At 40.6% G+C, this 12,414-nt stretch overlaps 1 protein-coding gene across 6 annotated transcripts in view; it reads left to right on the top strand.

Annotated features, from left to right (window-relative positions):
* Positions 1-12,414, top strand: part of EIF2B3 (eukaryotic translation initiation factor 2B subunit gamma) — a 136,074-nt gene that overhangs the window by 5,291 nt on the left and 118,369 nt on the right. For 5 of the 6 annotated variants that reach the window (XM_047433500.1, XM_047433499.1, NM_001261418.2 and 2 more), the window contains exons 2-3: positions 128-284; positions 2,845-2,990. In XM_047433500.1, coding sequence (XP_047289456.1) covers positions 137-284; positions 2,845-2,990 — 294 coding nt within the window. In that variant the 5' untranslated portion in view covers positions 128-136. Of the gene's footprint in view, positions 1-127; positions 285-2,844; positions 2,991-11,273; positions 11,328-12,414 lie in introns of those variants that run through there. The other variant, XM_047433501.1, reaches the window with a different exon arrangement.

The raw sequence follows: 12,414 nt of genomic DNA, 5'->3' as shown, positions 1-12,414 counted from the left end.
GAGTTAGGAATTATGCATTTGACATAGTGGGTATCAGTAACCTAAATAAAAATAGGCTAGTAGTATGTGTGCTTTGATTTTTGTTACATTGTTTTTTTTCTGTTAATTGTTTTTTCTGTACTTGCAGTTTGTAAAAATGGAATTTCAAGCAGTAGTGATGGCAGTAGGTGGAGGATCTCGGATGACAGACCTAACTTCCAGCATTCCCAAACCTCTGCTTCCAGTTGGGAACAAACCTTTAATTTGGTACCCATTGAACCTGCTTGAGCGTGTTGGATTTGAAGGTGAGCTATGACAAAGTGAGCTGTGAACTCATAAAACTTTTAGGAGATTTGATCCCCATGATTTGTCAGCGTTATGAGAATGAGAGAGGGTGACTAGAACTCGTTGGCTGAAGACTGCCTTCTTTAAGGAATGTAGGAGTACTCTATTGCTGTGTGAAAAAGGTTGAGAGGATAGCACTAAGTGTTGTTGTTATGGAGCTGATGTCCACAATGATCCAAGACGAACTCTGTAAAGATATCAGAAAGAGCAGATTGAGACTCTTAAATGCCTCATAGTCAGTACTTACTGAGAATCTATTATGTACCAGGTAATATTTATATTATCTGATATTCAATATATATATGTTTTAAATTTTGTTTTGATGTAAGTACCAGGTTATATATTAAACACGGAGGTACAGAATTGAAAAGACAGCTCAGGCCCTGACTTCCAGAACTTTAAAGTCTAGTGATCCTCTCTACTTTTTGCTTGGGTAGCTAGGTAGATAGTTATGCCATTAAGTAGGAAAAGGAATAGGAGACAAGGAACAGGTGTTTTTTTTTTGAGACAGAGTCTCACGCTGCCACCCAGGCTGGAGTGCAGTGGCACGATCTTGGCTCACTACAACCTCCGCCAGGGTTCAACCTCTCCCGGGTTCAAGTGATTCTCCTGCCTCAGCTTCCTGTGTAGCTGGGACTACAGGCATTTTCCACCATGCCCGGCTAAGTTTTTGTATTTTTAGTAGAGACAGGGTTTCACCATGTTAGCTAGAATGGTCTCGATCTCAGGACCTCGTGATCTGCCCACCTCGGCCTCCCAAAGTGCTGGGATTACAGGCATGAGCCACCGTGCCTGGCCAGGAAAAGGTTTTAATGAATTTTATTTTCATTAAAATAATGAGTTCAGCTTTGGTCACATTGAGTTTGAGGTGTCCTATATTTAGATGTAATAAATCAGGGTGCCAAAGCCTGAGGCCCAGTCTTGTGATCCAGTGTTCATTCCATTATTAGAGTTGCCTCCAATAGGAAGGGTGGTAGCTTAATAGCTCTCTCTTTGTATTGAATGAAGATTTAAAATGTTGGAGTCTCACCCTGTCGCCCAGGCTGGAGTACAGTGGTGTGATCTCAGCTCACTGCAACCTCCACCTCCCAGGTTTAAGCAATTCTCCTGCTTCAGTCTCCCGAGTACCTGGGACTACAGGCGTGTACCACCACTCCCGGCTAATTTTTTTGTATTTTTAATAGAGACAGGGTTTCGCCATGTTGTCCAGGCTGGTCTTGAACTTCTGACCTCAAGTGATCTGCCTGTCTCGGCCTTCCAAAGTGTTGGAATTACAGGTGTGAGCCACTACGCATGGCCCCCTTTGGTTTTTTTGTTTTTTAGAGACAGAGTCTTGCTCTGTCGTCCAAGGCTGGAGTACAGTGGCATGATTTCAGCTCATTGCAACCTCTGCCTCCTGGGATCAAACGATCCTCCCATCTTAGCCTCCTGAGTAGCTGCAACTACATGCATGCCACCACACCTGGATAATTTTTCTTTCCTCCTTTTTTTTTTTTTTTTTTTTTTGGCAGAGACAGGGTTTCGCCACGTTACCCAGGCTGGTCTTGAGTTCCTGGGCTGAAGTTATCTGCCTGCCTTGGCTTCCCAGAGTGTTTTTTATATTTCTTCCCATTTGTATTTTTGATTAATGTTCTTCTGAATTCTTCATATCAAGGAGAAGTGGCATATAATATATTAAAGTGTGGGCACCATTCATATAGACCTGAGGTTTTTTTTTGTTTGTTTGTTTGTTTTGAGACAGACTCACTCTGTTACCCAGGCTGGAGTGCAGTGGGGTGATCTTGGCCCACTGCAACCTCCACCTCCCAGACTCAAGCAATCCTCCCACCTAAACCTCTGGTTTTTTGGAGTTTTTTTATAGAGACAAGGTTTTGCCATGTTGCCCAGGCTGGTCTTGAACTCCAGGGCTCAAGTGATCCGCCTGCCTCGGCCTCCCAAAGTGCTGGGATTTACAGGCATGAGCCACTGCGCCCAGCCAGCATGTCTTTTAATCCAAGATTCCTCATTTGTAAGATGAGATTGTTCTAAGAATTAATTGGGGGGAGGCCAGATGCAGTGGTTCACGTCTGTAATCACAACACTTGGGGAGGCCAAGGCTGGCGGATCCTTTGAGCCCAGGAGTTGGAGACCAGCCTGGGCAACAGAGCGAAACCTCATCTCTACAGAAAATACAAAAATTAGCCAAGCATGGTGGCACATGCCTGTAGTCTCAGCTACTTGGGAGGCTGAGGTGGGAGGATTGCCTGATCTTGGGAGGTTGAGGCTGCTGTGAACTGCGACAGTGCCACTGCACTCCAGCCTGAGTGGCAGAGTGAGACCCTGTCTGTAAAAAAAAAAAAAAAAAAAAAAAAAAAAAAAAGAATTTATTGGGGGAATGCAGGTAAAATATATTGAAAAGGCACAATAATATTAGCAGTTGTTATTACACCTAGAAATAGACCAAATCTAATTGAAATAATGGAACCACTGTCTATATGAGTAAGTTTTTGTTTTTCTTTCTTTTTTTCTTTTGTCCTATAGAAGTCATTGTGGTTACAACCAGGGATGTTCAAAAGGCTCTATGTGCAGAATTCAAGATGAAAATGAAGCCAGATATTGTGTGTATTCCTGATGACGCTGACATGGGAACTGCAGATTCTTTGCGCTACATATATCCAAAACTTAAGGTGAAAAGCAATTTTTTGACTCTTCTTGTTTATTGAAGATAGATGATATCTTATGTTTTCCCAGTGCATTATAGTCTTTTTTTTGAGACAGAACCTCGCTCTGTCACCTAGGCCGGAGTGCAGTAGTGTGATCTCAATTCACTGCAACCTCCACCTCCCGGGTTCAAGCAATTCTCCTGCCTCAGCCTCCCAAGTAGCTGGGATTACAGGCATACGCCACCGTGCCTGGCTAATTTTGTATTTTTAGTATAGATGGGATGTTGGCCAGGCTAGACTCGAACTCCTGACCTCAGGTGATCCACCCTCCTCGGCCTTCCAAAGTGCTGGGATTACAGGCGTGAGCCATCACGCCTGGCCCCCAGTGCATTATAGTTTACAAAACTTTATTTCTGATATATTTTTACATCACATACTTTGTTACCCATGTACTCTTCAGTTGCTCTTTGATTTGGTTACTAGTAAAGATTTAGACATTAATTTGTCATAGTCACTGGTTTCCAATGTTTTTGAGTAATAGCACATTTTTATTAAAAAAGAAAAAAAAGACATACTCTAGGCCAGGCACAGTGGCTTATGCCTGTAATCCCTTTGGGAGGCCAAGGCAGGTGGATCACTTGAGGTCAGGAGTTTGAGACCAGCCTGGTCAACGTGGTAAGACCCTGTCTCTACTAAAAAGACAAAAATTAGCTGGGCATGGCGGTGCACATCTGTAATCCTAGCTACTGGGGAGGCTGAGGCAGGAGAATCGCTTGAACCCAGGAGGTGGAGGTTGCAGTGAGCCGAGATCATGCCACTGCACTCCAGCCTGGGCAACAGAGTGAGATCCCATCTCAAAAAAAAAAAAAAGATATACTCTAAATGTACTTCAAAAGATTCCATTCATATGAAGTTTGTGAACAAGCAATGTTAATGTATAAATCAGAGGAGCAGTTGACTCTGCAGGTGAGGATTGACTAGAAAGAAGTACAAAGGAACGTTCAAAAATTCATAGACCTCCCATGTAATATTTGAACTTTTAGTTAACCTTTGGTTAAGAAACTAAGGAGCACATAGATATGAGAACATAGTCTCCCCAATGGTTTGTGGCCCATGAGCTGAGAAAGATCCACTGTAGATTGTTCTAAAATTGTTTTTCTTTGGAAAAAATTCAATCGTTGTGATGTTGCCATATTACTTGAAATGGGAGACAAACTTTCTTCTGTTATTTCTGGTGATTAAACGGATGTGTTATTTTCAACCGACTTTTGTACTATAAAACAAAAAATTAATGCAAATATGTACATGGCTTTCCCACCCCTTTTATTGAGGAATAATTTATACACAGTAAAATGCACAGATACTAAATATACACCTAGATTACCATTATCCAAATCTAGAACAATTCCATCACCCCTGAAAGTTCCTTTGTGCTTCTTTCTAGTAAGTCTCTGATCTTCTGAGTCAACCACTCTTCTGTTTCTATCACTATGTATTAATTTTATTTGCTTATAAACTTCATATAAATGGAAACATACAATTTTGTTCTGGCTTCTTTTGTTCAACATATTTTTCAGATTCTTTCATGTTATTGAAAGTATAACTAATCTGTTCCTTTTCATGCTTAGTAGTATTCCATTGAATGAATATACTACTATTTATTTATCTATCCTCCTATTGACAGTTATTTGGGTTGTTTCTAATTTTTGGCTATCATGCATAAAGCTATTATGAGCATTGTTCTGCAGGTCTTTTTGTGAAAATATTCTATAGGCTGTAAGGTTTACTTTATTGGAAACTAGCAGTTTTCTAAAGTGATTGTACCATTTTATACTTTCATCAACAGTTTGTAAGAGTTGCGTTTGCTTCACGTCTTCATCAACACTTGGTGTTGTCAGTCTTTTTAATTTTAACCATTCTAGTAGGTATGTATGTAGTGGTATCTCATTGTGGTTTTAATTTACATTTCCCTGATGGTAATGATGCTGAACACCTTTTCATGTGTTTATTGGCCATTTATATATGTTCATGAAGTGTCTGTTCAAAGCATTTGTCTATTTTTTAATTGAGTTGTTTGCCTTTCCATTATTGATTATAGGAATTCTTAATATAGTCCAGATGCAAGTCGTTTGTGAGATATGTGTTGTGAATATTTTCCACCAGTCTGTGGCTTTTTATTTAATGGTGTCTCTTGAAGAAAAGTTTTTAATGATGATGAAATCCAAATTACTGATTTTTTCTTTTATGGTTATTGCTTTTTGTGTCCGGCCTAAGAAATCTCTGCCCATCTGACCTTTGTGTAGATGTTCTTCTATGGTTTTGTCTTTGTTTTGTATTCTTTTTGAGACAGAGTCTTGCTCTCTCACCCAGGCTGAGTGCAGTGGTGCAATCTCCACCTCCACTGCACCTCCTCACCGCACCACCTCACTGCAGCCTCCACCTCTCAGGTTCAACTGATTCTCGTGCCTCAGCCTCCTGAGTAGCTGGGATTACAGGTGTGTGCCACCACACCTGGCTAATTTTTGTAGTTTATAGAGACAGGGTTTCACCATGTTGGCCAGGCTGGTCTCGGGCTCCCAGGTTCAAGTGACCTACCCACCTTGGCCTCCCAAAGTGCTGGGATTACACACATGAGCGACCTCACCCAGCTCAGATTTGACATCTTAATATTGAATCTTTTGATCCTTGAACATCGTATATATAGTAATGTGCCACATAACGATTTTTGGTCAATGACTGGCCACATATGTGGTCCCATAAGATTGTAATACCATATTTTTACTGTACCTTTTCTATGTTTAGATATGTTTAAATACACAAATACTTACCATTGTGTTACAGTTACCTATGGTATATAATAACATACAGGTTTGTTACCTAGGAACAATAGGCTATACCATATAGCCTAGGTATGTAGTAGGCTATACTATCTAGGTTTGAGTAAGTACATTCTATGATGTTCGCACAACGAAATCACCTAACAATGCATTTCTCAGAACATACCGGATTTCTCAGAACATATCGCTGTCATTAAGTAACACATAATTGTGTATCTATTTATTTAAGTTTCGCTTAATTTCTCTCAACTGAGTTTTGTAATTTTCAGTGATGATTTTTTTTTTCTTGAGACAGCCTTGCTCTGTCGTCCAGGCTGGAGTGCAGTGGTGTGATCAAGGCTCACTGCAGCCTCAACCTCCTGGGCTCAAGTGATCTCCACATCAGCCTCTCAAGTAGATGGGACTACAGGCACATGCTACCATGCACAGCTAATTTTTTAGATTTTTATTTTAGTAGAGATGTCTCACTGTGTTGCTCAGGCTAGTTTCAAACTCCAGGGCTCAAGCTGTCCTCCCACTTCAGTCTCCTAAAGTGCTGGGATAACAGGCATGAGCCACCACACCCAGCCCAATGTAGAAATTTTGAACATGTCTTGATAAATTTATTCCTAGGTAAATATTTTTAATGATATTGTAACTGGTATTTTTTCTATTTTCAATTGTTTATTGCTTGTACATAGAAATACAATTGATTTTTGTATTTTGGCATTATGCGCTGTGACCTTTTAAATTATAGATTCGTTTAGGACCTTATCATCATATTGCCTGCAAATAAAAACAGTATTATATCTTCCTTCTTAATCTTTATTCTTTTTAAAAATTAAATTACATTAATTTTATTTTTTGAGACAGTCTCACTCTGTCACCCAGGCTAGTGTGCAGTTGTGTGGTCACAGCTCACTGTAGCCCCAAACTCCTGGGCTCAAGCAGTCCTCCCACCTCAGGCTCCCAAGTAACTAAGTAACTAGGACTACAGGCATGTGCCACCATGCCCGGCTAATTTCTTTTTTTTTCTTTTTTTTTTTTTTAGACCAGGGTCTTACTTTGTTGTCCAGGCTGGAGTGCAGTGGCTCGATCACGGCTCACTGTAACCTCGACCTCCCCAGGCTCAGGTGATCCTCCTACCTAAGCCTCCCAAGTAGCTGAGACTACAGGCATGCACCACCACACCTGGACTTTTTTTATATATAGAGAGAAAGGATCTCACTGTATTGCCCAGGCCTGGTCTGGAACTCCTGGACAGAAGTGATACCCCCAACCTTGCCCTCTCAAAATGCTGTGATTACAGGCATGAGCCACTATGCCCAGCTCTTTAAAAAAAAAAAAAATTGTCTCATTGCCCTGGCCAGGACCTCCAGTACAATGTATATAGGCATTTCCATTCACTTTTGGCCTTCCTTCTACTTTTCTGTATTTTCTCTCAAGTGGATTTTGGGTGCTTCTGATTAGAGTGGGGGCTTCCAATACAATAATGTGGGGTGTGTTGCTTTCTGGAGTACCGCTGATTATTTGTTTAGAGAATATTTGGGGAATTCCATTAGGGTAATGAGAAGAAAATTTGGGTCAAGTGTACAGTTCAGTGGTATTAAGCACATTTATAATGTTGTGCAACCATTACCACCCTCCATCTCTATAACCTTCATCTTGTGAAACTGAAACTCTATTACCATTAAATACTAACATCCCCCTCCTCCTAGCCCATGGCAGCTACCATTCTACTTCCTATTTCTATGATTTTGACTACCTCTAAGTACCTCATGTAAGTGGAATCATAGAGTATTTGTCTTTCTTTTTTTTTGAGACAGAGTCTCACTCTATCACCCTGGCTGGGGTGCAGTGGCATGATCTCAGCTCACTGCAGCCTCTACCTCCCAGGTTCAAGCATGTCTTGTGCCTCAGCCTCCTGAGTAGCTGGAACTACAGGTGCATGCCCTACCTACTACACCTGGCTAGTTTTTGTATTTTTAGTAGAAATGGGGTTTCGCCATGTTGGCCAGGCTAGTCTCGAACGTCTGGCCTCAAGTGATCTGCCCACCTTGGCCTCCAGTATTTATTTTTTGTGATTGGCTTACTTAGCATAACATCCTCAAGGTTCATCCATATTGTAGCATACTGCAGAATTTACTTCGTTTTTAAGGCTGAGGAATATTCTATTTTATGGATATGCCACATTTTGCTTAGCCATTCATCCATCCACGGACACTTGGGTTGCCTCCACATTTTAGCTATTGTGAATAATGCAGCTGTGAATATGGATGTACAAATATTTCTTTGAGACCCTCTTTCAGTTCTTTTGATTTATACTGAGAAATGTAGTTGCTGGATTATATGCTATTTCTGTGTTTAATTTTTTAATGAACTGCCATACTGTTTTCCACAGTGGCTATACCATTTTACATTGCCACCAACAGTGTACAAGGGCTCCAACCTCTTTCTCTCTTTCTTTTCTTGTTTTGTTTTTGAGACAGGATTTCGTTCTGACATCCAGGTTGGAGTGCCATGGCGCAATCATGGCTCACTGCAGCATTGACCTCCCAGGGTCAAGCGATGCTCCTATCTCAGCCTCCTGAGTAGCTGGAACCATGGGCATATGTTGCCACACCCAGCTAACTTTTTATTTTTTGTTGAGATGAGGGTGTTTCACTATATTGCCCCCAAAATACAAAAATTAGCCACGCATGGTGACACACACCTGTAGTCCCAGGTACTCAGGAGGCTGAGGTTGAGGACTGCTTGTGCTCGAGAGGTGAAGGTTGCAGTGAGCTGAGATCGTACCACTGCACTCTAGCCTGGGCAACAGAGGGAGATTCTGTCTCAAAAAAATATATAAATAAATTAAAATCAGTGTGTGTGTGTGTGTGTGTGTGTGTGTGTGTGTATTTATTTATTATTATTTTTTAAAACGGAGTTTTGCTCTTGTTGCCCAGGCTGGAGTGCAATGGCGTGATCTCGGCTCACCGCAACCTCTGCCTCCCAGGTTCAAGCGATTCTCCTGCCTCACCTTCCTGAGTAGCTGGGATTACAGGCATGCGCCACCACACCCAGCTAATTTTGTGTTTTTAGTAGAGACAGGGTTTCTCCATGTTGGTCAGGCTGGTCTCAAACTCCCGATCTCAGGTGATCCACCCACCTTGGCCTCCCAAAGTGCTGGGATTACAGGCATGAGCCACCGTGCCTGGATATATATATATATGTGTGTGTGTGTATATACATGTGTGTGTTTGTGTGTGTATATGTGTGTGTGTGTGTGTTTGTGTGTGTGTGTGTGTATTTTTTTTTAGAGACAGAGTCTCACTATGTTGCCCAGGCTGGTCTCGAACTCCTGGGCTCAAGTGATCCTCCACCTTGGCCTCCCAAAGTGCTGGGATTACAAGTATGAGCCACCATGCCTAGCCTATGGTTCCAGTTTCTCCACATCCTTCCCAGTATTTATTTTCTGCTTATTTTTGTTTGTTTGTTTTTTTGTTTTTGAGAAGGAGTCTTGCTCTGTTGCCCAGGCTGGAGTGCAATGGTGCAATCTCGGCTTACTGCAACCTTTCCTCCCAGGTTCAAGCGATTCTCCTGCCTCAGCCTCCTGAGTAGCTGGAATTACAGGTGCATACCACCACGGCCAGCTAATTTTTGTATTTTTAGTATAGAGACGGGGTTTCACCATGTTGGCCAGGTTGGTCTCAAACTCCTGACCTCGTGATCCACCCACCTCAGCCTCCCAATGTGCTGGGATTACAGGCATGAGCCACCTCACCCAGCCTATTTTTTTCTTAATAGTAGTCATCCCAATAAGCATGAGTTAGTATCTTACTGTAGTTTTGATTTGCAAAGAGCTTGGGATTTTTGGTGGTCTTCTCAGAGCTGTATTAGCTACCATCTAAAAGTTTAGAATGGATGTGTAAACTTTCTTTGCTCTATAATCTCTGAATTTTAGAAAAGTTATTTTTGGCCCAGTAAGCTAGAGATCTTGAAAGTCCCAGGCAAATAAGTTCCTCTAATACTTGGAGGCTTGAGAAGTAATAGTGGCAACTGTTAGGAGAGAAGGCATGAGAAGGAAAGTAAAGTAACCTCCAAAGGGGCATTTTACTCTCCAAGTTACTGCCTTTTTGTATGACTTTGATTTTTTTTTTTTTTTTTTCTGGAGACGGAGTCTCGCTCTGTAGCCCAGGCTGGAGTGCGGGCTCACTGCAAGCTCTGCCTCCTGGGTTCACGCCATTCTTCTGCCTCAGCCTCCCGAGTAGCTGGGACTACAGGTGCCTGCCACCAAGCCCGACTAATTTTTTTGTATTTTTAGTAGAGCCAGGGTTTCACCATGTTGGCCAGGATGGTCTCGATCTCCTACTTCGGGATCCGCCCGCCTCGGCCTCCCAAAGTGCTGGGATTATAGGCGTGAGCCACTGCGCCCGGCCATGACTTTGATCTTTTACTCCTTATTTTAGGGCTTCCCCTTGCACCTAAAATCAGAATCTTTACTAAGTCCTTCTGCAGTCTAATTTCTGTTCCTCCGTTACCCGTTCCCCCACATCATTTACACAGAATCTCTTACATATAATCCTACCTCTGAGCCATCTTCCAAGCTGTGACTTTGGCCAGCAAGTCTTTGCTATCTTTACTTGGTTTTTTCTTACTACAATAGCCCCTGAAATCCTGGCTTCATATCAGATTGCCTTCCAACCAGGAGTAGAAGGCAACAAGGCTAACTGTTGGAAGAACGTAAATAAATGCCCAAATAGCTGTTAGGAACTGAGCTAAGCCAAAATTCAGAATTAACTGATTAGAATTAACATAAACTTGTAGAAAGGGCAGTGGAAGTGCGTATAAACAGTTGAAGAAAGTGAGACAGCCTAAGAAGTAAGTTGTCAGTGTTTGCTAAGGGATGTCGGTTATCTCTCTAAAGGAGAAAGTTGCACTGAGCAGCTGTGCCATGCATGACACAGTGGCCCTTTAAGCCCATGTTTTTTCTTCCCGTGTGCCCACAAAAGAGCTCCTAAACATTAATAGGCTCTTTTGGTCTGTTTCCAATAAGATTTTAGGTAAGATAAGAACATTCCCTAAAAGTTTGAGGTTTATTGGCTTTTGGTTTTATCTTTACCCACTTCCTCCAGATTGAGTTTCCCAGCTATTATTGTGAGGTCTTCGTGTTTGACTTCTGTTCTCAGACAAAGGCCAGAGTAGTACATTCACTTTATTTGGCTTTTTTTTGTTAAAACAATTTTTAACTTATAATGTTTTTCCTTTACCTTATATTTGCTAAATGTATTGCAGTCCTACTTATATGTGGAAACCTCCATCACATGTGCTTATAGGATATTGAAGTTAGATACCATATTTGCTAAGTTATGTTTTTTCACTTAAAGGACACATATTTCATTTGGTTTTATACTTTCTGGCACCATTTTCTACTTCATTTTGCTTTATCTAACCCCACAATTTTACTGATTTACTGGTTCTCACTTTTTATTTCAGCTACCCAAACCTCTTTCCCTGACTTATCAAGAGAGATTATTGGTTCATTCATTCTCCCAGGCCCTGGGTGAGTGAGCTCCACTCTTACAACTGACGTTGATAACATGAATGCTCTTAGATTTCATATTTTCTCCATAATAATGTTTCATATTTGTTGATAAATCATTCATTCTTATCTATGTCTAAACTCATTCATTTAGTAAATATTCAGAGTCAACTAATAAGAATAATGATAATTGCCATTGTTAAACACAAGTTGTAGACCAGACATAGTTAATATTTTAACTTCTTATATGGAAATTTTAAAACTTGTACAAAAGTAATCAACATTGCCCATTTATCTGTCACCCAGCATCAACAGTTAACAACCTATAGCAAATCTTATTTTATCTATATTTTACCCAACTTGCTTTCTCCCATATTCTTTTGAAGCAAATCTTAGACATATAATTTTATCTGTAAATATTTTAGAATATATTATAAAAATAAGGGCACTTTTTAGAAATACCACTATCACTTCTAAAAAACAGTAAAAAACCAAATCAATAATAATTCTTTGGTATCATTAAGTATCTAATCAGTGTTTGAGTTTTCAGTTGCCTCATAAATATAATTTCAGCATGTTTTTTCAAATGTGTTTATTTAACTTAGGAAGTGAATAAGGATTACACATTACAATTGGTTGAAATGTCTTTTAAGTCTCTTGATATATAGGTTTTCCCTCCATTTCTTTTTTCCCCCTTGTAATTTAATTGTTGAAGAAACTAGGTTTTTGTTGATTTAATGAGTGTTTCTCTGTATGTATAGTCTGTAAATTAGTAGTTGAACTTGAGGCTTGATTAGGTTTAGGTTTGAATTTTTGGCAAGGCAGTGGTGTGTTCTTCCATCTGCAGGTACATGATTATCTGGTTGTCTTTCATTTTGTGATGTTAGCAGCCGTTGATGATCACTGCACACGAGTCCCCATTCCTTGTGTCTCCAGTCATTTGTCTGAAGCTTATTTCTAATAGATTCCTAAAGGAGGGCGCATATAATGTTCAACAAGTAATCTGCCACCGTTATGTTTCAAAGCCAATTTATTTGGATATAGAATCCGTGACTGACATGTTTTCCTTGAGTATATTAAATGTATCTTTTTTTTTTTTTTTGAGATG

Source organism: Homo sapiens, chromosome 1 (assembly GCF_000001405.40).
Source record: "Homo sapiens chromosome 1, GRCh38.p14 Primary Assembly".
In the NCBI taxonomy this organism is placed as follows: domain Eukaryota; kingdom Metazoa; phylum Chordata; class Mammalia; order Primates; family Hominidae; genus Homo; species Homo sapiens.
This window is presented reverse-complemented; position numbering and strand designations above follow the sequence as displayed.